The 25,234-nt window shown below is 41.8% G+C and overlaps 1 long non-coding RNA gene across 5 annotated transcripts in view, besides 3 other annotated features; it reads left to right on the top strand.

Annotated features, from left to right (window-relative positions):
* Positions 1,895 to 2,584: an enhancer, noted in NCBI's record as "H3K27ac-H3K4me1 hESC enhancer chr12:30757483-30758172 (GRCh37/hg19 assembly coordinates)". NCBI's record gives its function as "activates a minimal SCP1, AML or CMV promoter by ChIP-STARR-seq in naive H9 embryonic stem cells {active_cell/tissue: H9 hESC(naive)}" and the evidence as "EXISTENCE:reporter gene assay evidence [ECO:0000049][PMID:30033119]".
* Positions 2,585 to 3,274: an enhancer, noted in NCBI's record as "H3K27ac-H3K4me1 hESC enhancer chr12:30756793-30757482 (GRCh37/hg19 assembly coordinates)". NCBI's record gives its function as "activates a minimal SCP1, AML or CMV promoter by ChIP-STARR-seq in naive H9 embryonic stem cells {active_cell/tissue: H9 hESC(naive)}" and the evidence as "EXISTENCE:reporter gene assay evidence [ECO:0000049][PMID:30033119]".
* LOC105369719 (uncharacterized) overlaps positions 4,973 to 25,234 on the top strand; it is a 39,196-nt gene continuing 18,934 nt past the window's right edge. Inside the window, exons 1-4 of one of the 5 annotated variants that reach the window (XR_001749071.1) lie at positions 4,973 to 6,390; positions 6,744 to 7,309; positions 20,946 to 21,071; positions 24,825 to 25,066. This is a non-coding gene — a long non-coding RNA (uncharacterized LOC105369719). Of the gene's footprint in view, positions 7,310 to 20,945; positions 21,072 to 24,824; positions 25,067 to 25,234 lie in introns of those variants that run through there. The other 4 variants (XR_001749070.1, XR_001749068.2, XR_001749067.1 and 1 more) reach the window with 4 other exon arrangements.
* Positions 7,025 to 7,194: an enhancer, noted in NCBI's record as "experimental_28131 CRE fragment used in MPRA reporter constructs". NCBI's record gives its function as "activates a minimal promoter by MPRAs in K562 erythroleukemia cells, with activity observed for the non-introgressed 12:30752958 variant allele {active_cell/tissue: K562}" and the evidence as "EXISTENCE:reporter gene assay evidence [ECO:0000049][PMID:34662402]".

Raw genomic sequence — 25,234 nt, 5'->3', positions numbered from 1 at the left:
AGCTTTGTTCTTTTTGCTTAGGATTGTCTTGGCTATGCGGGCTCTTTTTTGGTTCCATATGATGTTTAAAGTAGCTTTTTCAAATTTTGTGAAGGAAGTCAATGGTAGCTTGATGGGGATAGCATTGAATCTATAAATTACTTTTGGCAGTATGGCCATTTTGACAATACTGATTCTTGCTATCCATGAGTGTGAAATGTTTTTCCATTTGTTTGTGTCCTCTCTTATTTTGTTGAGCAGTGGTTTGTAGTTCTCCTTGAAGAGGTTCTTCACATCCCTTGTAAGTTGTATTCCTATGTATCTTATTCTCTTAGTGGCAAGTGTGAATGGGAGTTCACTCATGATTTGGCTATTCGTCTGTTATTGGTGTATAGGAATGCTTGTGATTTTTGCACATTGATTTTGTATCCTGAGACTTTGCTGAAGTTGTTTATCAGCTTAATGAGATTTTGGGCTGAGATAATGGGGTTTTCTAAATATACAATCATGTCTTCTGCAAACAGAGACAACTTGACCTCCTCTCTTCCCGTCTGAATATGCTTTCTTTCTTTCTCTTGCTGATTGCCCCGACCAGAACTTCCAATACTATGTTGAATAGGAGTGGTGAGAGAGGGCATCCTTGTTTTGTGCCAGTTTTCAAAGGGAATGCTTCCAGTTTTTGCCCATTCAGTATGCTATTGGCTATGGGTTTGTCATAAATAGCTCTTATTATTTTGAGATACATCTATTGATACCTAGTTTATTGACAGTTTTTAGCATGAAGGGCTGTTGAATTTTGTCGAAGGCCTTTTCTGCATCTATTGAGATAATCATGTGGTTTTTGTCACTGGTTCTGTTTATGTGATGGATTACATTTATTGATTTGCATATGTTGATTTGCATCTCAGGTATGAAGCCAACCTGATTGTGGTGGATAAGCTTTTTGATGTGCTGCTGGATTCAGTTTGCCAGTATTTTATTGAGGATTTTTGCATCAATGTTCATCAGGGACACTGGCCTGAAATTTTCCTTTTTTGTTGTGTCTGCCAGGTTTTGGCATCAGGATGATGCTGGCCTCATAAAATGAGTTAGGGAGGATTCCCTCTTTTTCTATTGTTTGGAATAATTTCAGAAGGAATGGTACCACCTCCTTTTTATACCTCTGGTAAAATTTACCTGTGAATCTGTCTGTTCCTGGACTTTTTTTGATTGGTAGGCTATTAATTACTGCCTCAATTTCAGAACTTGTTATTGGTCTATTGAAGGATTCGACTTCTTCCTGGTTTAGACTTGGGAAGTTGTATGTGTCCAGGAATTTATCCATTTCTTCTAGGTTTTCTAGTTTATTTGCGTAGAGGTGTTTATAGTATTCTCTCATGGTAGTTTGTATTTCTGTGGAATCAGTGGTGATATCCCCTGTATTATTTTTTATTGCATCTATTTGATTCTTCTCTCTTTTCTTCTTTATTAGTCTGGCTAGCAGTCTATCTATTTTGTTGATCTTTAAAAAAAAAAAAAACAGCTCCTGGATTCATTGATTTTTCAAAGGGTTTTTCATGTCTCTATCGCTTTCAGTTCTGCTCTGACCTTAGTTATTTCTTGTCTTCTGCTAGCTTTTGAATTTATTTGCTGTTACTTCTCTACTTCTTTTAATTGTGATGTTAGGGTGTCAATTTTAGATCTTTCCTGCTTTCTCTTGTGGGCTTTTAGTGTTTAAATTTTCCTCTACACACTGCTTTAAATGTGTCCCAGAGATTCTGGTACGTTGTGTCTTCGTTCTCATCGGTTTCAAATAATATCTTTATTTCTGCCTTCATTTCATTATTTACCTGGTAGTCATTCAGGAGCAGGTTGTTCAGTTTCCATGTAGTTGTGCAGTTTTGAGTGAGTTTCTTAATCCTGAGTTCTAATTGGATTGCTCTGTGGTCTGAGAGACTGTTATGATTTTTCATTTGCTGAGGAGGGTTTTACTTCCAATTATGTGGTCAATTTTAGAATAAGTACGATGAGGTGCTGAGAAGAATGTATATTCTGTTGATTTGGGGTGGAGAGTTCTATTCCTTTCTGTTTATTAGTTTTCCTTCTAACAGGCCTCTGCTGCAGGTCTGCTGGAGTTTGCTGGAGGTGCACTCCAGACCGTGTTTGACTGGGTATCACCAGCGAAGGCTGCAGAACAGCCAAGATTGATGCCTGTTTTTCCTCTGGAAGCTTTGTCCCAGAGGGGCACCTGCCAGATGCCAGCCAGAGCTCTCCTGTACGAGGTGTCTGTCGGCCCCTACTGGGAGATGTCTCCCAGTCAGGATACACGGGGGGTCAGGGACCCACTTGAGGAGGCAGTCTGACCCTTAGCAGAGCTCAAATGCTGTGCTGGGAGGTCCGCTGCTCTCTTCAGAGCTGTCAGGCAGGGATGTTTAAGTCTAATGAAGCTGCACCCAAAGCTTTCCCTTCCAGGTGCTCTGTCCCAGGGAGATGGGGGTTTTATCTATAAATCCCTGACTGGGGCTGCTGCCTTTTTTTCAGAGATGCCCTGCTCAGACAGGAGAAATCTGGCAGTCTGGCCACAGCAGCCTTGCTGAGCTGCAGTGGGCTCCACCCAGTTCAAACTTCCTGGCTTCTTTGTTTACAGTGTGAGCAAAAAACTGCCTACTCAAGCCTCAGCAATGGCGGACACCCCTCCCCCCACCAAGTTCGAGCATCCCAGGTCAATCTCAGACTGCTGCTGTGCTGGCAGCGAGAATTTCCAGCCAGTGGATCTTAGTTTGCTGGGCTCCATGGGGGTGGGACCCGCCGATCCAGACCACTTGGCTTCCTGGGGCTTCAGCACCCCTTTCCAGGGGAATGAACGGCTCTGTCTCACTGGCGTTCCAGGCACCACTGGGGTATGGGAAAAAAACAACAACAACAACTCCTGCAGCTACTTCTGTGTCTGCCCAAACGGCCGCCCAGTTTTGTGCTTGAAACACAGGGCCCTGGTGGGGTAGGCACCGAAGGGAATCTCCTGGTCTGCAGGTTGCAAAGACCGTGGGACAAGGGCAATATCTGGGCTGGAGTGTGCATTGTTCCTTGGATTCAGTTCCGTAAGGCTTCCCTTGGGTAGGGGAGAAAAATCCCCCAACCCCTTGCACTTCCCGGATGAGGCAACGCCCCACCCTGCTTTGGCTTGCCCTCTGTGGTTGTCCAACCAGTCCCAGTGAGATGAACTAGGTACCTCAGTTGGAAATGCAGAAATCACCTGCCATCTGCATCAATCTCGTTGGGAGCTGCAGACCGGAGCTGTTCCTATTCGGCCATCCTGCTAGCAATTGACTGATAGTTTCTTTTACTATGCTCTTTAGTTTTATTAGTTCCTGCTTTTTAATTTTTTGGTTGCAGTTGCTTTTGTGGTCTTAGTTGTAATTTATTTCCCAAGCCTGATGTTTCCTAGGTTTTCTTCTAGGATTTTTATAGTTTGAGGTCTTACATTTAAATCTCTAATTAATCTTGAGTTAACTTTTGTATATGGTGACGGGTAGGGATCATGTTTTATTCTCCTGCATGTGGCCAGCCAACTATCCTGCACAATTTATTGAATAGGGAGTCTTTTCTCTTTTGCTTGTTTTTGTCAACTTTGTTGAAGAGCAGATGGCTGTAGGTGTGTGGCTTTATTTCTGCATTCTTTATTCTGTTCCATTGGTCTAAGGTGTCTGTTTTTGTACCAATACCATGCTGTTTTGGTTACTGTAGCCTTATAGTATAGTTTGAAATCAGGTAATGTGATACCTCTGGCTTTGTTCCTTCTGCTTAGGATTGCTTTGGCAATTTAAAGAATGCTAAAAATAGGCCCCCAATCTCTCCTGACTTATAAGGTTTCTGCTAAGATGTCTGCTGTTAGCCTAATGGAGTTCCCTTTGTATGTGATCTGACCTTTTTTTTTGCTAGCTGCCTTTAAGATTTTTTCTTTAGTGTTCACTTTGGACAGTCTGGTGACTATATGCCTTGGTGATGTTGTTTTATATAGTATCTTGCAGATGTTCTCTGGATTTCTTGTATCTCGATGTCTGTCTCTCTAGCAAGATTAGGAAACTTTTCTTGAGTTATTCCCTCAAAAATATATTTACCAGATTGTTTACTTTTTCTTCCTCTCAAGAATGTTAATAATTTGTAGGTTTTTTCACTTCACGTAATTACAATTTCTTGAAGACTGTTCGTTTTTTTACATTCACTTTCCTTTATTTTTGTTTGGCTGGGTTAGCTTGAAAGACTGGTCTTCAAGCTCTGTAATTTCTTCTGCTTGGCCCAATCTATTGATAAAACTTTTAATTGTACTTTGAAACTCCTTAGGTGAGTTTTTCAATTCTAGAAGGTCTGATTGATTTCTTTTTTTTTTCTTTTTCTTTTTCTTTCTGTTTTTTTTTTTTTTTGAGACAGAGACTCACTCTGTCACCCAGGCTGGAGTACAGTGGCATGATCTCGACTCACTGCAACCTCTGCCTCCTGGGTTCAAGCAATTCTCCTGCCTCAGCCTTCTGAGTAGCTGGGATTACAAATGTGTGCCACCACGCCCAGCTAATTTTTGTGTTTTTAGTAGAGATGGGGTTTCACCATGTTGGCCAGGTTGGCCTCGAACTCCCAACCTCAACTGATCTGCCCACCTCAGCCTCCCAAAGTGCCGGGATTACAGGCGTGAGCCACCGCACCTAGCCCTGATTAATTTCTTTTTAGGATGTTTATCTCTTCCTTCATTTCCCAGAGATTGCTTTAGAAGTTTCTTTGTGTTGATTTTTAACCTTGTCTTGGATATCATTGCGTTTTTTTTTTTTCCTAGTCCATGCTTTGAATACTTTATCTGTCATTTCTTAGTTTCAATTTTGGTTAGCAACAATTGCTGGAGAGCTAGTGCAATCCTTTGATGGTATCACTACATTCATATTTTTCATGGTACCAGAATTCTTGCCCTGGTTCCTTCTCATCTGAGATGCTGACACTTATAATTTTGTATTTATTTTCTAGCAGGTAGAAATTTTCTTTTTATTTCTTTCTCTATATTATTATTATTTTTTCTTTCTCTTTCCTTTTTTCCATCTCCCCAGCAGGTATAACTATAGAGAATGTTGAGTAGAGTTGTTTGGCTTTGCTTCTATAGCTGTATGCACTTCTGATGGCAACTTTTATACTGGGCTGTGCGCTTCAAACTCTAAGCCTGTAGATGGCACTTATAGGTATGAGCTGGTTGCAGCCAATTTGGGGATATACTTGACCTTTGTTTACTGGGAGAAGCTCCCTGTTGCTTCAGGTAAATGGGCTGATCCATGGAGTGCACAGTGGTCTGAGCTTCCTGTTTAGCCCCTGGTGAGTGGGGGACATGATGGATGGAGCTGGACCAGGCGAGTCTGCCTACAGGCTCCAGGGACAAGCACAAGTGCTGAGGGAGAATCCAGTGAGCAGCCATCAAGTACCTAGAGGTGCACCTAGGCATGGAGCTGGGAAACCTCTTTAGCCCCAAGTTCACTGCACAGGGATGGGGGATGGCCTAAACTCCTTATCCAGGAGAGGGGGCACTCCAGGTGCCTGGAGATCTGCCTGGGTGTGGAGTGAAGAGGTCCCTGCTTCACCAGGATCTCTATATAGGAAGAATGGCATAGGTCAGAATGCCAATCCAGGTGAGTGGGTACTTTGAATACCTGGAGATCTGCCTATTGTGGAGCAGAGAAAGCCCCGTTTCACCACAATCTATACTCAGGAAGGTTGAGGTGGCTCAAGCTGCTGAACTAAGCAAATGGGTCCTCCAAATGCCTGGAGATCTGCCTGGGCATGGAGCAGAAAAGGCCCCACTATATCTTGATCTATGTCTATGAAGGGTGGGGCAGCTCAGGCTGCTGGTCCAGGCAAACAGGTACTCCAAATGCCTGGATTTCTGCCTGTGGCTAGAGTGGATAGGGCCCCACTGCACCATGATCTCAGGGGAACAGGATGGAGCACCCAGAAATGGCGTGCACAGACTGGTTCCAAGTCACTAAGCTGACCCTGGCTGCAAGTCTTGCTGCTCAGGAGAAACTGCAGTGGTAGCAGCTCCCATCCCATCCTAGTCTTGCAATGGGGAATAACAAAATTCCAGTGCCTACTGCTGAGGTACTTTTCATAGTTCTAGCTCTGGAGACCCCTATGCCACTCTAGAGCAGGCACTCCAGTCTCTGACCTGAGACTAAAATGCCTGCATGGCTACACTGCCAGGTTGCTAAAGAATGGCTGACTTTATGTCCCTGGGTTAAAACACATCCTGCTTTTGGTCCCAGGTCTGGGAAAATGCCTGTAGTGTTCCCCAGTGTCTTTTTTCTCATAGCATCTCCAAGCTCCTCCCCAGGTTGGCTGCAAGGCTTAGGATAAACAAGGTGTCCTCCCTTGGCCTGGGTTGCTCGGATCCCCAGTGGAAAGGTAAGTAACAGAGGGAGGCTGTCTGCCTGTCTCACATACTGGGGTTTCACTCACTTTTCTCAGCCAGATGCTTTCATGGGGTCCGTTTGCCCACATTTTCCTCTCTGGGATCTGAGGTGTCCTTCATGATTCTGGTGAATCCCCATTTTCCTTCTTGAATTAATGCCACAGAGTTGATCTTTATGCACTATCTTGCTATTTCCAAGTGACTGAGGCATGCTAAAAGGGTGTAATCCACCATCTTGTGAAAAAAAGCGTGGTAATCTTATTGTGGGTCTTGGGTGAAGAATTGTTTTTTTCTTGCTACATTTAGAGTTTTCTCTTTATCCTTTGTTTGATTTTGATGTGCCTAGGTGTGGATCTGTTTCAGTTTATCCTACTTAGAGATTGTTGAGCTTCTTGGATGTTGAGCTTCTTGGACATGAAGATTAATGTTTTTCATCAAATGTAAGTTTTCAGTCATTATTCACATTTTTTTCTGCTCCTTTGCCTTTTTTCTCTAAGTATGTCACCTTTGTGTAGCAGAAAAAGAAAAGGCATACATGACTGGATTAGGGGCCTCATCACATGTCAGGGGCCAGCTCTGCAAGTCTTGTACTTTGGAAAAAGAACCAACTAGCCTGTTCAGCGATACAAATGTCAGAAAGTTGAGAATGCCTGGATTTCAAATATCCTAATAGACTATAGAGGAGATATGTTTGGTGAAGGAAATCCTTTCCGGAATCCTCCAAGTCATAATGTAAATGGTTGCCTACTAATTCTCAGCCCTTAAATCTAGTCCTAGTAAGCCCTGATAAACTGACTCATACAAGATGGGAATGCCTACCATGAAATGCTGAGATGGGATATGACAGTGACAACAAAGGCTGCTGCTGTAATGTGATCTCTCCAGATGGGTTCTTTCATCTTAGGTAAAAAGGTCAGTCCTATGATCGTTTGCAAACACTGCAATGGTTGACTTTATTATAAGGATTATGATCTAAGTGATGTAATGGCAAAAATCCTTTCCTAATCCTGTATTGAGTCAACAACTGTTCTCTATTTGCTTTGATACAGTTCAGTGTGAGGGGGTAGTTTATAGAATCCTGAATTTCAACAACAATAATTGCTATATTTACGGTGCAGCTGTTGAACTGTTAATCCTTCTTTATGATGGTGTTACAGAATTGAATTATATTAAATTACTCTGAATACAGCAGGCATGACTTTTCATTTGTCTGTACTATATTAAAGATTATGTATTTTTAAATCTTGATAACACTCAACCTTTGAGTTACAAACCAGATAGTTTCATGAAAAATCATGAAACTTTAAAATATAGTAAATAATATAACCCACAAGTAATTTTTGTCAGTTTTTAAAATATTTCTTTCAGAACCTTTATAATCCCTTAATGATAAGTGATACCTGCACATGAATGCTGCCTTTGAAAGGGGTTCAGTGTTATTTAAAAAATAACAGCATGCATGTTTTTCTTCCCCTACTAAATTTAAATCAACGTACTCTCAAAGCTGAGAGGATGAAGTGAAGAATAGTGGGTGGGTGAGGAGAATTAAAAATAAGTACTGTAAAAATCCAATGGTGCCTGAAAGGATTTAAGACAAAAATGTGAGAGCGCATGAGGTAGTAGGATTACGTTGTGCCAAAGGAAATAACAAGACTGCATATTTGTTATTTCAGGAAAGATAGCACAATAGCAGGATTACTTTTATCATCCACGTTGAAGTCACAGGCCTTCCCCACTCACCACTGCTTACCACACCTACAACCCTCTTCTAAAAAAGCCACGGAAGCCGGATGTCTTTTTCGGGTATTGGGCAGAACTGCCCTGCATAGGAACACCACATGGGATGGTGACAAATTTGTCAATTTGATCCTCTTTCTTAATAATAAATATGGATTTTGAGATATACACATAAATGGAAGTTACACTCCAATATTTTCTGAGATATGTGCAGTGTTCCATGAGCTCTGAGGTGTAGCCAAATCTTTGAGACCAAGAGTGACTGTATTAGTCCATTTTCATGCTGCTGATAAAGATATACCCAAGACTGGGAAGAAAAGAGGTTTAATTGGACTTACAGTTCCACCTGGCTGGGGAGGCCTTAGAATCATGGTGGGAGGCGAAAGGCCATTCCTACCTGGTGACTGCAAGAGAAAATGAGAGAGAAGCAAAAGCGGAAACCCCTGATAAACCCATCAGATCTCGTCAGACTTATTCACTATCATGAGAATAGCACGAGAAAGGCCAGCCCCCATGATTTAATTACCTCCCCCTGGGTCCCTCCCACAACATGTGGGAGTTCTGGGCGGTACAATTCAAATTTATATTGGTGGGGACACAGTCAGACCATATCAGTGACTGTCTAGCCAGAAGGGAGATGGATGACTTGAGACTTAATATGCTCTTGAATTTTTGTGAGATATCCTTGCACTGAAAGTAACTGGGCATGTCTCTTGTAATCCTGAAAAGCCATTTTATACATCAGACACTGGGCCTCGACTTCTGGGTCTCTGTCTTGTGTTATATGTTTCTTTTCATGCCAGAGAGAAGAAATTGCAGAACGAACAAAGAAAACAGACTTTGGAGTTCTCAAGACTTAGATTCAGATTGACTCTTGCTGCTGAGCTGAATGTCAGCCACTGTCAGATCATTTAGTTTAGATAAAAATGAATTGGCCTGTCCTGTCTACTTTAGAGTTCCTAAGAGGGTTCAATAAAATCATAATGTATCAAGTACACCAATATAATCTGGATATTTGTCCCCACCCAAATCTCATGTTGAAATGTAATCCCCAATGCTGGAGCCAGGGCCTGGTGGGAGGTGTTTGGGTCATGGGGGCAGATGCCTCATGGCTTGGTGCTATCCTTGTGATAGTGAGTGAGTTTTTGTGAGATCTGGTCATGTAAAAGTGTATGGCACCCCTCACCCCCCCTCTCTCTCCCTTGCTCCCCCTCTTGCTATGTGATGTGTCTGCTCCTGCATTGTCTTCTGCCACAGGTAAAAGCTCCCTGAGGCCTCCCAGAAACTGAGCAGATGCTGGCACCTTGCTTCCTATGCAGCCTGCAGAACTGTGAGCCAATTAAATCTCTTTTCTTTGTAAATTACCCAGTCTCAGGTATTTCTTTATAGCAAAGCAAGAATGGACTAATACACATACTAAGATTTTGAAAGTAGTTAATGACTTTACAAATGTTATTGATTATGTTTCATCTCTTACCTAATCAAGTGTCTCTAGTATTGTCTTTTATATATTTTTGTCTCCCCTGTGTGGCCAGTAAAATGTAGGAGCCCAAGAAAGTGTTTAATATGTGTTTGTTGCACTTATGATCATCTTGAAGTCAAGACTTTTATGGTTCATTCAGCAGTGGGGCCATATTCAAAGAATAGTACAAACAGGAATTCAGATCATATACAAATCAAATGTAGAACTTGAAGACAAGTTTTACTAAGATCTCCTTTTTCTCATATTCTGTAGCATCTGGCAACCCTGAGGCCTGTCACTCTCCTTCCACAGAAGGACCCTCTCTCACTCTCCTTGGCCCACACCCGGTCTCTCTCCAGCCCACTCCTCATCCAGCTCTAACCGACTTCTCCCAGCTCTGCCCTGGGCTCTCCATAGTCTGCAGGTGTAGGATCCTTCTTCACTCAATGCCTGCTGGGAAGAGAAGCCCCTCTTTACCCTCACTGCCAGTTTCACAAGAATAGGTCATTCATTCCTCAGTGCCTTTTCCTCATTCTGCCTCCCAAGAACCTTAATCTTGTTCAGAAGGAGAAGAGGGGAAGGAACTAAACAGTTTTCAGAATCAGAACCTGATTTATCAGGGTTAAGGGTTGGGAAAACTTATAATAATAAATCCATATTTATTATTAAGAAAGAGGATCAAATTGACCAATTTGTCACCATCCCATGTGGAGTTCCTATGCAGGGCAGTTCTGCCCAATACCCCACAAAGACAGGGAAAAGGGTTGGGAAAACTTACCTGTATGTTTGTCATTTTTATCTTATCCCATAGAATGATTGGATGCAGAATAATAAAGCCAGCAAGTATGTATTATGTTCCTATTGGGAAGCTGGTTCTAGGAATGAGCTGAAAGGAGTAAACTACAGCCCTGCCCTTAAAGACTTCGTGCTGGGGAATTTTCACAGTGCTTAGCACGTGAGGCTGGGCTACTCCAGAAACCCTTGTAGATGCTGCAGAGAGTGAAGGATACTGTAGCACTTTAAAAATATTGCAGAATAATTTACTTAAAATGAATTCTCCTTTTTAAGCGTATAGTTCAATGAGTTCTGGCAAATGTATCGTCATCTAACCATCATTACTCTCAAGATACAGAAATGTCCATCACCCCCAAGAGTTCCTGTATACTCCTTTTCAGTCATTCCCATCCATTACCACCACTGCCTGCCAACCACTAGTCTGTTTTCTATGCTTATAGCACTGTCTTTTCTAGAATGCTATATAGATGGAATGTGGAATATGTATATTTTTGCATACATGTGTTAGTAATTCATTCTTTTTATTGCTGAGGAATATTCCATTGTACATATATAGCATTATTTGGTTATCTGTTCTCCAGTTGGGTATTTGGGTTGTTTCCTATTTTTGACTACTCAATATAGCTGCTATGAACGTTCATGTAGAGGCCTCTGTGTAAACATAGGTATTTGTTTCTTTTGTGTAAACACCTAGGATTTGGATTGGTGTGTTGTATGGTAGATGCATTATTACTTTTACTAGAAACTTCCATACTGTTTTCCAACGTGACTGTATGAGGGTCTAGTTGCTCCGTATCCTTGCCAACACTTGGTGTTGTCGATCATTTTGATTTTGTATTGTATTGGTATGTAGAGGTACCTTGCAGTTTCAGTTTGCATTTTCCTGATGAGTAATGATTTTGAGCATCTTTTCACATGCTTGCTGGCCATTTGTATATCGTCTCTGATGAGGTGTCCAGATCTTTTGCTCATTTTTCACTAGGTTGTTTGTCTTAATATGAGTTGTATTTTTATTATTGAGTCGTTATTATTGGGTAAGAGTTTTAAATATATATTCAAGATACAAGCTCTTTTTTTGTGTTTGGAAATATTTTTACCTAGTCTAACTGATTTGTCTTTTCATTTTTTTTTTTTTTACAAATATACAATTTTATTCTAAGGGAATATTTCTGTAGTTTCTGCAAGGGGAAAACCTAAAAGAGGTTAAAAACTGAAAAAGAACAGAAAGGATGATTTAGATGTTTCTCTTTTTGTTTGATGTTTTTTTCTCCCCTGGAAAAAAATGTAATTTTACACAATTTTCGTAAAATTAAAAAAGTAATAATCAGATGCACACATCAACAGCTACACTTATGAGGAATGACCAATAATTAATCAATATTTTCTCTTATGAATAAATGTAGGATTCTGGGCAACTCTGTGGACTAACAAGCAAATGAAATCCTGATACAGTCATTTATCTGTATGATTAATTCCATCTGTGGTTGTCATTTCTGACTGGAAAACTTTTCATTTTCTTAAGAGTGTTTTTCAAATAGTAGTAGTGTTTAATTTTGATGATGACCAGTTTAACAATTTTCTTCTTTTGTAGTTTGTGCTTTTTATAGTTTGGGAGAAATCTTTGCGTAACACAAGGTCAATGTGTTATGGGTTGAATTGTATTCCCCCTGCCCCCCAATTAATATGTTGAAGCCCTAACCCCCAATAAGCCCTAAGGTAAGGTAAGGTAAACCCTACCTTAGAATGTGACCTTGTTTGGAAATAGGGTCTTCACAGAGATGATCAAGTTAAAATGGGGTTATTGGGGGTGGGTTCTAATCCAATAGGACTGGTGTCCTTATGTAAAGGGTATATCTGAGGACAGATACACACACAGGGAGAATGCCATGTAAACATAAAAGCAGAGTTGGGGTGATAATTTACAAGCTGAGGAATGCCAAAAGTGCCAGGAGAGTACTAGAGAAGGAGAGAAGCATGGAACAGATTCTCTCTCACAGCGCTCAGAGGGAACAGCCCTGCTGACACTTTGACCTTGGACTTTCAGCCCCCAGAACTGTGAGATAATACATTTCTGTGATTTAAGTCCTCAGTTTGTGGTACTTAATTCTAGCAGCCTTAGCAAATAGTCACCAAACCACTAAGATTTTCTTTTTTTTTTTTTTTTCTAGAAGTCCTGTGGTACTTTTTTTTTGTATTTATCTGCATTTATTTTATTATTATTATTTTTAAATTTTATTATTATCATACTTTAAGTTTTCAGGTACATGTGCACAATGTGCAGGTTTGTTACATATGTATACACGTGCCATGTTGGTGTGCTGCACCCATTAACTCATCATTTAGCATTAGGTATATCTCCTAATGCTATCCCTCCCCCTCCCCCCACCCCACAACAGTCCCCGGAGTGTGATGTTCCCCTTCCTGTGTCCATGTGTTCTCATTGTTCAATTCCCATCTATGAGTGAGAACATGCGGTGTTTGGTTTTTTGTCCTTGCGATAGTTTGCTGAGAATGATGGTTTCCAGTTTCATCCATGTCCCTACAAAGGACGTGAACTTATCATTTTTTATGGCTGCATAGTATTCCATGGTGTATATGTGCCACATTTTCTTAATCCAGTCTATCATTGATGGACATTTGGCTTGGTTCCAAGTCTTTGCTATTGTGAATAGTGCCACAGTAAACATATGTGTGCATGTGTCTTTATAGCAGCATGATTTATAATCCTTTGGGTATATACCCAGTAATGGGATGGCTGGGTCAAATGGTATTTCTAGTTCTAGATCCCTGAGGAATCGCCACACTGACTTCCACAATGGTTGAACTAGTTTACAGTCCCACCAACAGTGTAAAAGTGTTCCTATTTCTCTACATCCTCTCCAGCACCTGTTGTTTCCTGACTTTTTAATGATTGCCATTCTAATTGGTGTGAGATGGTATCTCATTGTGGTTTTGATTTGCATTTCTCTGATGGCCAGTGATGATGAGCATTTTTTCATGTGTTTTTTGTCTGCATAAATGTCTTCTTTTGAGAAGTGTTTGTTCATCTCCTTTGCCCACTTTTTGATGGGGTTGTTTGTTTGTTTCTTGTAAATTTGTTTGAGTTCATTGTAGATTCTGGATATTAGCCCTTTGTCAGATGAGTAGGCTGCGAAAATTTTCTCCCATTTTGTGGGTTGCCTCTTCACTCTGATGGTAGTTTCTTTTGCTGTGCAGAAGCTCTTTAGTTGAATTAGAATCCATTTGTCAATTTTGGCTTTTGTTGCCATTGCTTTTGGTGTTTTAGACATGAAGTCCTTGCCCATGCCTATCTCCTGAATGGTATTGCCTAGGTTTTCTTCTAGGGTTTTTATGGTTTTAGGTCTAACATGTAAGTCTTTAATCCATCTTGAATTAATTTTTGTATAAGGTGTAAGGAAGGGATCCAGTTTCAGCTTTCTACATATGGCTAGCCAGTTTTCCCAGCACCATTTATTAAATAGGGAATCCTTTCCTCATTGCTTGTTTTTGTCAGGTTTGTCAAAGATCAGATGGTTGTAGATATGCGGCATTATTTCTGAGGGCTCTGTTCTGTTCCATTGATCTGTATCTCTGTTTTGGTACCAGTACCATGCTGTTTTGGTTACTGTAGCCTTGTAGTATAGTTTGAAGTCAGGTAGCGTGATGCCTCCAGCTTTGTTCTTTTGGCTTAGGATTGACTTGGTGATGCGGGCTCTTTTTTTGGTTCCATATGAACTTTAAAGTAGTTTTTTCCAATTCTGTGAAGAAAGTCATTGGTAGCTTGATGGGGATGGCATTGAATCTATAAATTACCTTGGGCAATATGTCCATTTTCACGATATTGATTCTTCCTACCCATGAGCATGGAATGTTCTTCCATTTGTTTGTATCCTTTTTTATTTCATTGAGCACTGGTTTGCAGTTCTCCTTGAAGAGGTCCTTCACATCCCTTGTAAGTTGGATTCCTAGGTATTTTATTCTCTTTGAAGCAATTGTGAATGGGAGTTCACTCATGATTTGGCCCTCTGTTTGTCTGTTATTGGTGTATAAGAATGCTTGTGATTTTTGTACATTGATTTTGTATCCTGAGACTTTGTTGAAGTTGCCTATCAGCTTAAGGAGATTTTGGACTGAGACAATGGGGTTTTCTAGATATACAATCATGTCATCTGCAAACAGGGACAACTTGACTTCCTCTTTTCCTAATTGAATACCCTTCATTTCCTTCTCCTGCCTAATTGCCCTGGCCAGAACTTCCAACACTATGTTGAATAGGAGTGGTGAGAGAGGGCATCCCTGTCTTGTGCCTGTTTTCAAAGGGAATGCTTCCAGTTTTTGCCCATTCAGTATGATATTGGCTGTGGGTTTGTCATAGATAGCTCTTATTATTTTGAGATACATCTATTGATACCTAGTTTATTGACAGTTTTTAGCATGAAGGGCTGTTGAATTTTGTCGAAGGCCTTTTCTGCATCTATTGAGATAATCATGTGGTTTTTGTCTTTGGTTCTGTTTATATGCTGGATTACATTTATTGATTTGCATATGTTGAACCAGCCTTGCATCCCAGGGATGAAGCCCACTTGAGCATGGTGGATAAGCTTTTTGATGTGCTGCTGGATTCGGTTTGCCAATATTTTATTGAGGATTTTTGCATCAATGTTCATCAAGGATATTGGTCTAAAATTCTCTTTTTTGGTTTTGTCTCTGCCAGGCTTTGGTATCATGATGATGCTGGCCTCATAAAATGAATTAGGGAGGATTCCCTCTTTTTCTATTGATTGGAATAGTTTCAGAAGGAATGGTACCAGCTCCTCCTTGTACCTCTGGTAGAATTCGGCTGTGAATCCATCTGGTCCTGGACTTTTTTTGGTTGGTAAGCTATTGATTATTGCCTCAATTTCAGAGCCTGTTATTGGTCTATTCAGAGATTTGACTTCTTCCTGGTTTAGTCTTGGGAGGGTGTATGTGTCGAGGAATTTATCCATTTCTTCTAGATTTTCTAGTTTATTTGCGTAGAGGTGTTTGTAGTATTCTCTGGTGGTAGTTTGTATTTCTGTGGGATCGGTGGTGATATCCCCTTTATCATTTTTTATTGCGTCTATTTGATTCTTCTCTCTTTTCTTCTGTATTAGTCTTGCTAGCGGTCTATCAATTTTGTTGATCTTTTCAAAAAACCAGCTCCTGGATTCATGAATTTTTGAAGGGTTTTTTTGTGTCTCTATGTCCTTTAGTTCTGCTCTGATTTTTGTTATTTCTTGCCTTCTGCTAGCTTTTGAATGTGTTTGCTCTTGCTTTTCTAGTTCTTTTAATTGTGATGTTAGGGTGTCAATTTTGGATCTTTCCTGCTTTCTCTTGTGGGCATTTAGTGCTATAAATTTCCCTTTACACACTGCTTTGAATGGATCCCAGAGATTCTGGTATGTTGTATCTTTGTTCTCATTGGTTTCAAAGAACATCTTTATTTCTGCCTTCATTTCATTAGGTACCCAGTAGTCACTCAGGAGCAGGTTGTTCAGTTTCCATGTAGTGGAGCGGTTTTGAGTGGGTTTCTTAATCCTGAGTTCTAGTTTGATTGCACTGTGGTCTGAGAGACAGTTTGTTATAATTTCTGTTCTTTTACATTTGCTGAGGAGTGCTTTACTTCCAACTATGTGGTCAGTTTTGGAATAGGTGTGATGTGGTGCTGAAAAAAATGTATATTCTGTTGATTTGGGGTGGAGAGTTCTGTAGATGTCTATTAGGTCTGCTTGGTGCAGAGCTGAGTTCAATTCCTGGGTATCCTTGTTAACTTTCTGTCTTGTTGATCTGTCTAATGATGACAGTGGAGTGTTAAAGTCTTCAATTATTATTGTGTGGAAGTCAAAGTCTCTTTGTAGGTCACTAAGGACTTGCTTTATGAATCTGGATGCTCCTTTATTGGGTGCATATATATTTAGGATAGTTAGTTCTTCTTGTTGAATTGATCCCTTTACCATTATGTAATGGCCTTCTTTGTCTCTTTTGATCTTTGTTGGTTTAAAGTCTGTTTTATCAGAGACTAGGATTGCAACCCCTGCCTTTTTTTGTTTTCCATTTGCTTGGTAGATCTTCCTGCATCCCTTTATTTTGAGCCTATGTGTGTCTCCGCATGTGAGATGGGTTTCCTGAATACAGCACACTGATGGGTCTTGAGTCTTTATCCAATTTGCCAGTCTGTGTCTTTTAATTGGAGCATTTAGCCCATTTACATTTAAGGTTAACATTATTATGTGTGAATTTGGTCCTGTCATTATGATGATAGCTGGTCATTTTGCTCGTTAGTTGATGCAGTTTCTTCCTAGCCTTGATGGTCTTTACATTTTGGCATGTTTTTGCAGTGGCTGGTACCAGTTGTTCCTTTCCATGTTTAGTGCTTCCTTCAGGAGCTCTTTTAGGGCAGGCCTGGTGGTGACAAAATCTCTCAGCATTTGCTTGTCTGTAAAGTATTTTATTTCTCCTTCACTTATGAAGCTTAGTTTGGCTGGATATGAAATTCTGGGTTGAAAATTCTTTTCTTTAAGAATGTTGAATATTGGCCCCCACTCTCTTCTGGCTTATAGAGTTTCTGCCGAGAGATCTGCTGTTAGTCTGATGGGCTTCCCTTTGTGGGTAACCCGACCTTTCTCTCTGGCTGCCCTTAACATTTTTTCCTTCATTTCAACTTTGGTGAATCTGACAATTATGTGTCTGGGAGTTGCTCTTCTCGAGGAGTATCTTTGTGGCGTTCTCTGTATTTCCTGAATCTGAATGTTGGCCTGCCTTGCTAGATTGGGGAAGTTCTCCTGCATAATATCCTGCAGAGTGTTTTCCAACTTGGTTCCATTCTCCCCATCACTTTCAGGTACACCAATGAGACGTAGATTTGGTCTTTTCACATAGTCCCATATTTCTTGGAGGCTTTGCTCATTTCTTTTTATTCTCTTTTCTCTAAACTTCCCTTCTCCTTTCATTTCATTCATTTTGTCTTCCATCACTGATACCCTTTCTTCCAGTTGATCGCATCAGCTCCTGAGGCTTGTGCATTCGTCACATAGTTCTCGAACCTTGGCTTTCAGCTCCATCAGCTCCTTTAAGGACTTCTCTGCATTGGTTATTCTAGTTATCCATTCGTCTAATTTTTTTTCAAAGTTTTTAACTTCTTTGCCATTGGTTTGAATTTCCTCCTGTAGCTCAGAGTAGTTTGATCGTCTGAAGCCTTCTTCTCTCAACTCGTCAAAGTCATTCTCCGTCCAGCTTTGTTCTGTTACTGGTGAGGAGCTGTGTTCCTTTGGAGGAAGAGAGGTGCTCTGCTTTCTAGGGTTTCCTGTTTTTCTGCTCTGTTTTTTCCCCATCTTTGTGGTTTTATCTACTTTTGGTCTTTGATGATGGTGACATACAGATGGGTTTTTGGTGTGGATGTCCTTTCTGTTTGTTAGTTTTCCTTCTAAGAGACAGGACCCTTAGCTGCAGGTCTGTTGGAGTTTGCTAGAGGTCCACTCCAGACCCTGTTTGCCTGGGTATCAGCAGCGGTGTTTGCAGAACAGTGGTTTTTCGTGAACCGCAAATGCTGCTGTCTGATCGTTCCTCTGGAAGTTTTGTCTCAGAGGAGTACCCGGCCGTGTGAAGTGTCAGTCTGCCCCTACTGGGGGGTGCCTCCCAGTTAGGCTGCTTAGGGGTCAGGGGTCAGGGACCCACTTGAGGAGGCAGTCTGCCCGTTCTCAGATCTCCAGCTGCATGCTGGGAGAACCACTGCTCTCTTCAAAGCTGTCAGACAGGGACATTTAAGTCTGCAGAGGTTACTGCTGTCTTTTTGTTTGTCTGTGCGCTGCCCCCAGAGGTGGAGCCTACAGAGGCAGGCAGGCCTCCTTGAGCTATGGTGGGCTCCACCCAGTTCGAGCTTCCCGGCTGCTTTGTTTACCTAAGCAAGCCTGGGCAATGGCGGGCGCCCCTCCCCCAGCCTGGCTGCCGCTTTGCAGTTTGATCTCAGACTGCTATGCTAGCAATTAGGGAGACTCCGTGGGCGTAGGACCCTCTGTGCCATGTGCGGGATATAATCTCCTAGTGTGCCGTTTTTTAAGCCCGTTGGAAAAGCGCAGTATTAGGGTGGGAGTGACCCGATTTTCCAGGTGCAGTCTGTCACCCCTTTCTTTGACTAGGAAAGGGAACTCCCTGACCCCTTGAACTTCCCGAGTGAGGCAATGCCTCATCCTGCTTCGGCTCACGCACGGTGCGCTGCACCCACTGTCCTGCACCCACTGTCTGGCACTCCCTAGTGAGATGAACCTGGTACCTCAGATGGAAATGCAGAAATCACCCATCTTCTGCGTCGCTCACGCTGGGAGCTGTAGATCGGAGCTGTTCCTATTTGGCCATCTTGGCTCCACCCTCATTTATCTGCCTATGGTACTTTTATAAGATCAATCTGGAAGAGGTATGAAAAAGTGTTCCTGAGATCAAAATGATTTCAGAGGGTCTTTAAAGAACTAGGTGATACTTGTAGCAATAAAGCTTTTATTAGAATAAAGATTATGCCTCATTCCTGGCAAGTAGAGAGAGGAGGATTTCATCTTTGTGTACACAAATTTGATTAGACTAAAAAGCCATAAAAGTTTGGCATCTGTCTTGCTGTAACTAAATGAATTAGAAATATAAATTTTTGGACCAAAAGCTACAGTTTGCTGAGCCATCATTCTTTTATTTTATTTTAAACAATTTGATGCTGCTAGGTAGTACCCAAATAGAAGGTTTTGGAATTAAGGAGCAAAAGTGCTGAGCTGGGTATTTAGTAACTACCACAGGCAAAGAGGCTTGCATTAGGCTTTTAGCAGAGCGCATTGTCTGATTGGTGTCTCAGCAGTGTTGGTACCATCCTCTATTTAACTGACCTTGAAAACAGAAAATTCAACTAGATTTTATGGAGGGCTTATATATACTCAAGTGCTGTCAGGGTAGATAGAAGTCTATGAGATGAAGACCCAATGCTTAAAAAATCTATAGCACATTAGATTCTAGCCACTCCTATCTACTGAAGTAATTCTGCAATTCTCATGCCTTTTTATGACAGTTCTGGGGGATCAGTCCCATGCTGGAATGCTCAATAAAGAATTATAAGCATGCTAGATGGCAGAGAATGCCAACTTATTACAAAGACTTGCTGCAGTATTCCACAAAAAAGTATGATGCGTGGATGAGAATGATGATATCCCATTTCTATGAATTAAATAGAAGGGGAGCATTATAACTGTTTTGCAAATGAGGAGACTGAGTCAGACAGAGGCTAGAAGGATCTGCCTAGACATACTAGTAATAAGTATTTAGTAAAGGCTTTCACCTGCAGCTTTTTTTCTTCTTAAGATTCTGGTCATGAGTATCTTCTTTTCTATTACAAAATCTTTGTTCATCAGGCTGTATGGAAGATTATTTTTCAGCAAATTTCCAGTCCTTCCCTTGCCTCAACCTCTATGGGTACCTTCTCTCCTTGGTGCACGTGCTTGACTTTGGGCTTAGCCACCTGGATTGCCTTAGCCAATGGGATGACCACAGATGTGAGCAGAAGCTTAGAATGTGCTTGCATATTTAGGTGTGGTCTCTTGAGCTCTTGTCTTTCACTATGAACAGAATATGCTGTGAGTACTGCTAATCTAAGAAAGACAAGAGACGTGGAAAGGCCTGGGCCCAGCCATGGAGTTAGGAGTCAGGCCCAGCCAAGCCTAGCCCAGATTAGCCAAACCTACAAGTCAGTAAGTGAGTGAGTAATAGATGGCTGCAAACCACTGAAATTTCCAGGTTGTTTTGTTAAATACCCTTGTTTTGGTCATACGAAATTAATACATACTTTTGTAAAGGTGCAACATAGTTATGGGTAGCACATTGCAGCACACAATGCTCATGTACTACATACACTGGAAACAGAATGAGAATGGAGGAGCCTTGATGAAATGAATGACTTGAAGAAATGGCACAGGACTGGAAATCAGAAGACTTGGGTTGTCGTGAGGTTTCGACCTTCTATTCTTATGAAGTTTTGACTCTGTGTCAGGTGTGTTTCTAGCAGTTTTAACTCATCCAATTCTCATAACAATTGTTTGAGGTAAGTGCATTATTATTCCCACTTTAAGGTTGAGGAAATTGAGGCACAGAAGGATTAAGAAACTAACCAAGATCTCATAGCGAGTAAGTAGCTGAACTGACCTTGGTACCAGACAGTGTCATGGATGCCTCATGCGCCACCCAGATTTCCTGTTCAGAACTGAAGTGCTCACTCCTTCAGCCTCTGGGAGAGCTGGCTCCTGGTGGCTGTCAGGTGTGTCCCTCTCTGGACATTGTTCTTGACCAAAGGGAGCTGCCTTGCCCAAAGTTAGATCCTTTATTGGGGTTAGCCCATAACCAATATCTGGTCAATGTGTGGACTAATGGCCTGGTCAAAACCCTTTGCCTATATTTGAGGCAACTTGAAGTCCCTTTCCAACTCAAGGGTTCTCTGCAAGATCAAATTCGTCCTGTGTAGCTCCTTCATCACCTCTGCCCAACCCTGCTTCTCTCATTTTCTTACAGGTATTGGTTTTGAAAATGCTCCCAAGGAAAGCTGCATACAAATATCCATCTCAGAGTCTAATTCCAAGGAACCCAGTCCAGATGGCTGCCTTCCAGAGTCTGGGTTCTCTGCCACTGTTTGATATTGTAAGTCACCACTCTGAGCTGCTCTGAGGTTATCGGGAAACAGGTCAAACTCAGTTTTACTTAGACTCTCACTCAACAATCATGATGTGTAGGTTTTTCTCCACACACTAAGCAAGCAATCAATTCTGCAGGGCACACTAGCTGGGTGTCCTCTAAATCAATTCACTGTGACACTATCTACTTGGAGATAGCATCAGATCCCACTGGTTGAGGGCTCACTCCACAAGACTGCTCCCACCACTGATGCTGACTGCAAGCCCCAGGTTGTTTTACCTGTGCTTCTGATCAAAGAGCTATAAATCAGGGTTTCCACAACCCCCTCCTCAGGTTCGATTAATTTGCTAGAGCAGCTCACAGAACTGAGGGATGTGCACATTTATCTTTACTGGTTTATTATAAAGGATATTACAAGGGATACAGATGAGCACCAGATGAAGAGATGGATAGGGCAATGTGTGGGGGAAGGAAGAAGAATAGAGCTTTCACGCCTTCTCTGGGTGCACCACCAGAGAAGGAGCCTTGGCTATGTGGAAGCTCATCTGAACTGTCTTTTTGGGTTTTTATGGAGGCTTCAGTATGTAGACACAATTGATTAAACCATTCGCTATTGGTGAGCAACTTAACCTTCAGTCCCTCTCCCCTCTCTTACAGGTTGGGGGGTGAGGCTGAAAGTCTCAACCCTCTAATCATGATTTGGTCTTTCTGGTGGCCAGCCCCCATCCTGAAACTACCTAGGGATGGCCAGGCACCAGTCATCTCATTAGCATGTAAAAAGCACTCTTACCACTTCAGAGAGTCCAAGGATTTAAGGAGTTACATGCCAGGAAACCTGGACAAAGGCTAAATATATTTTATAATATCACAGCTTCATTATTAAGTAGGGATCATAATACTGCCTTATTTAGAGGATTAAGAGTGGTAGCACTTTACATTTGTTTTCACTCTGCCCCACCCTTTCCCACTCCACTGAGGCTGTTTCCATGGAGGTCATCAATGACTTCTAATGGCAAAACCTAAGTAATATTGTTTATGCTGGCCTATCTGCATTGGATGCTTCCGTCACTTTCTCCCATCTGTTCTTGGGAACTTTTATAATTGTTTCCCACAGGATTCCAACTCTCCTTTTATTCAACTAACATCTACATATTTGTAACTCCCTACCCCAGCTTCTTTCCCAAGCTGGGGATTATATAAGCAGTTGAGTATGCATTGCCATTTGATGTCTCCCAAGTTTTTTAAACAGCATTTCCAAAATTAAAATCATTGTTTTCTTCACCATTTTCTCTGCTCCTTCTTCTATATTTTTCTTTCATTAATGATACCATCTTTCTTTTCTTTTCTTTTCTTTTTTTTTTTTTTTTTTGAGGCAGGGTCTTGCTGTGTCACCCAGGCCAGAGTGGAGCAATCTTGGTTCACGGCAACCTCCGCCTCCTGGTCTCAAGTGATTCACTTCAGCCTCCTGAGTAGCTGGGACTATAGGTGCATGCCACCACACCTGGCTAATTTTTGTATTTTTTTTTTGTAGAGACTGGGTTTTGCCATGTTTCCTAGATTGGTTTTGAACTCTTGGGCTCCAGTGATCCTCCTGCCTCGGCCTCCCAAAGTGCTGGGATTACAGATGTGAGCAGCCGTGCCTGGCCTGACACCATCTGTCTAGGTCATGATACAAATACAAGGATATCTTTCTTGAATACTCTTTCCTCATCTCATACTAAAGCAATAAGTCTGGCTACTTTTATCCATGTCCCCAAAACTTCTCCAATATGTCCATCTTCTCTGTTCCTCCTACGATTGTCCTGCTTGAAGCCTTCATCATCCCTCATCTGAACTATGTCAATAGCCTCCCTAATGATTTTCTTGCACCCAACCTTGCTTTCTCAAAGCCATCCTTCAAAGCACAGCCTAAGTGGTCTATCTAAAAGGAAAATCTGATTGTGCTAGCTCCCCATTGTCTATAGGGTAATGTCCAATCTTCTTTTTCTTTTTTTTTTTGTTGACACAGAGTTTCAATCTTGTTGCCCAGGCTGGAGTGCAATGGCGTGATGTTGGCTTGCCGCAACCTCCAGCTTCCAGGTTCAAGTGATTCGCCTGCCTCAGCCTCCCAAGTAGCTGGGATTACAGGCATGTGCCACCACGCCCGGCTAATTTTGTATTTTTAGTAGAGACGGGGTTTCTCCATGTTGGTCAGTCTGGTCTCGAACTCCCGACCTCAGGTGATCTGCCCACGTCAGCCTCCCAAAGTGCTGCGATTACAGGCATGAGCCACAGCATCCGGCCCCAGTCTTACAATAGAAAGCTCTGTATGATCTGGCAATACACCATGGTGGCTCAGATGTAGGTTTAAGAGTCAATTGTATGAGACTCTTGGCAATACTGCTCATTAGTCGTGTGGCTTTGGGCAAAAAACTTAACTTTTCTGACAGAATGAGAATATAATAAAGATTTCTACCTGCAATAGTTAGTCACCAAATACCCACACACTTCCCTAGATTTCTCAGCCTTTCCTGAAGTTAAGTCAGGGTCACGTGGCTATTTCTGGCCAATTGACTGGAAGTGGAGTTGATGTGAGCCCTGTGACCTTCCATCATCTTTCTCTTTTCTTGCTGTGACCACCTTGGAGATGTTCAGGATGGCATAGCTGGTTGAGGTAGGCAGACTGCCTGACCCTCATTGAACTTAATGGGTTATTTTTCAGTTTCATTATTGTATTAAGCCCCTGAAATTTCAGGGTTTTTCTATTTAGGCAGCATTAATAACCATGACAAACTACCCCATTGAGTTGTTAGAATGGATCAGCTGAGATAATGCATGAAAGCATGTAGCACCCTGCTCAATACAAGTCTTCTTATCCTGTCTTGAGTTCCACATGCCTGCACTTCTGAGTTACTTTATACAACATTCTTTCTCAAGCCTTCATGCTGTCCCTTGTGCCTGGAATGCCCTTCTGTGACTCACACAATCTTCAAAACTTGGCTAAGGTAGCACCTTTCCTGGTCTCCTCAGCCTCAGTTAAATGTTCCTGACTTCAGTCTCATAGCAGAGTATTTATCCCTTCACCAATGTATGTATACTCAACAACATTTACCCACCCACCTCCCTGGACAGATGGTGAGCATCCGGAGGGGAAGAGTCTTTTATAAATGTTGTCCCTCTGCCTAAAATGCTTTCTGTACTTGTACCTGCCTGGAAGACTCCTTGCACACTTTATGCCCAGCTCACCAGTTCCTCACTGGAAAAGGCTTTTCCTCCCTCTGGCAGAGTTGTTCTCTCTCCCCTTTATGCCAATTCTTTACCTTGTGGGTTGTATTAGTCTGTTCTTATACTGCTATATAGACCTGAGACTGGGTAATTTATAAAGAAAAGAGGTTTCATGGGCTCATAGTTCTGCAGGCTGTACAGAAAGCATAGCAGCTTCTGCTTCTTGGGAGGCCTCAGGAAACTTACAGTCATGGTGGAAGACAAAGGGGAAGCAGGCACGTCTTACGTGGCTGGAGCAGGAGCGAGAGAGAGAGCGGGGAGGTGCCACTTTTAAACACCCGGATCTCACAAGAACTCAACAGCACCAAAGAGGATGGTGTTAAACCATGAGAAATCACCCCCATGATCCAATAACCTCTCACCAGGCCCCACCTCCAACATTGGGGATTACAATTCAACGTGAGATTTGGGTGGGGACACAGTCCAAACGATATCTCATGTGGCTCTACTATACCATCCATCACCCCAAATTACAATTCCTCCTTTAATTGTCAGGGTCAGTCCCTGGACTGTGAGCTCCCTGAGGACACACAGTGCTACATCAAGTTACTTGGAGCCCTAGGACAACTTCCATCTCAAGTGATCCTCTTCCATATCAGGGAATCATCAAATGCTTGCTGAATAAATTGCCACCCTCTTTGGACTTTGAAAAACGAAGTATCCTTTTCTCAAAAATATGTAGGAGAATAACATTTATACCCTGTATTAGTTTTTTAGAGCTGCCATAACAAAATGCCACAGAATAGATGGCTTAAACAACAGAATGGATTTTCTTATAGTTCTGGAGGCTGAAAGTCCAAGATCGAGATGTTGGCAGGGCTGGTTTCTCCTGAGGCCTCTCTGCTTGGCTTCTAGATGGCCAGCATTTCGCTGCATCCTCACCTGGTCTTTCCTCTGCTTGCATG

This window comes from Homo sapiens, chromosome 12 (assembly GCF_000001405.40).
Source record: "Homo sapiens chromosome 12, GRCh38.p14 Primary Assembly".
Taxonomy (NCBI): Eukaryota; Metazoa; Chordata; class Mammalia; order Primates; family Hominidae; genus Homo; species Homo sapiens.
The sequence above is the reverse complement of the archived record's forward strand: the minus strand, read 5'-3'. Positions and strand labels throughout refer to the sequence as shown.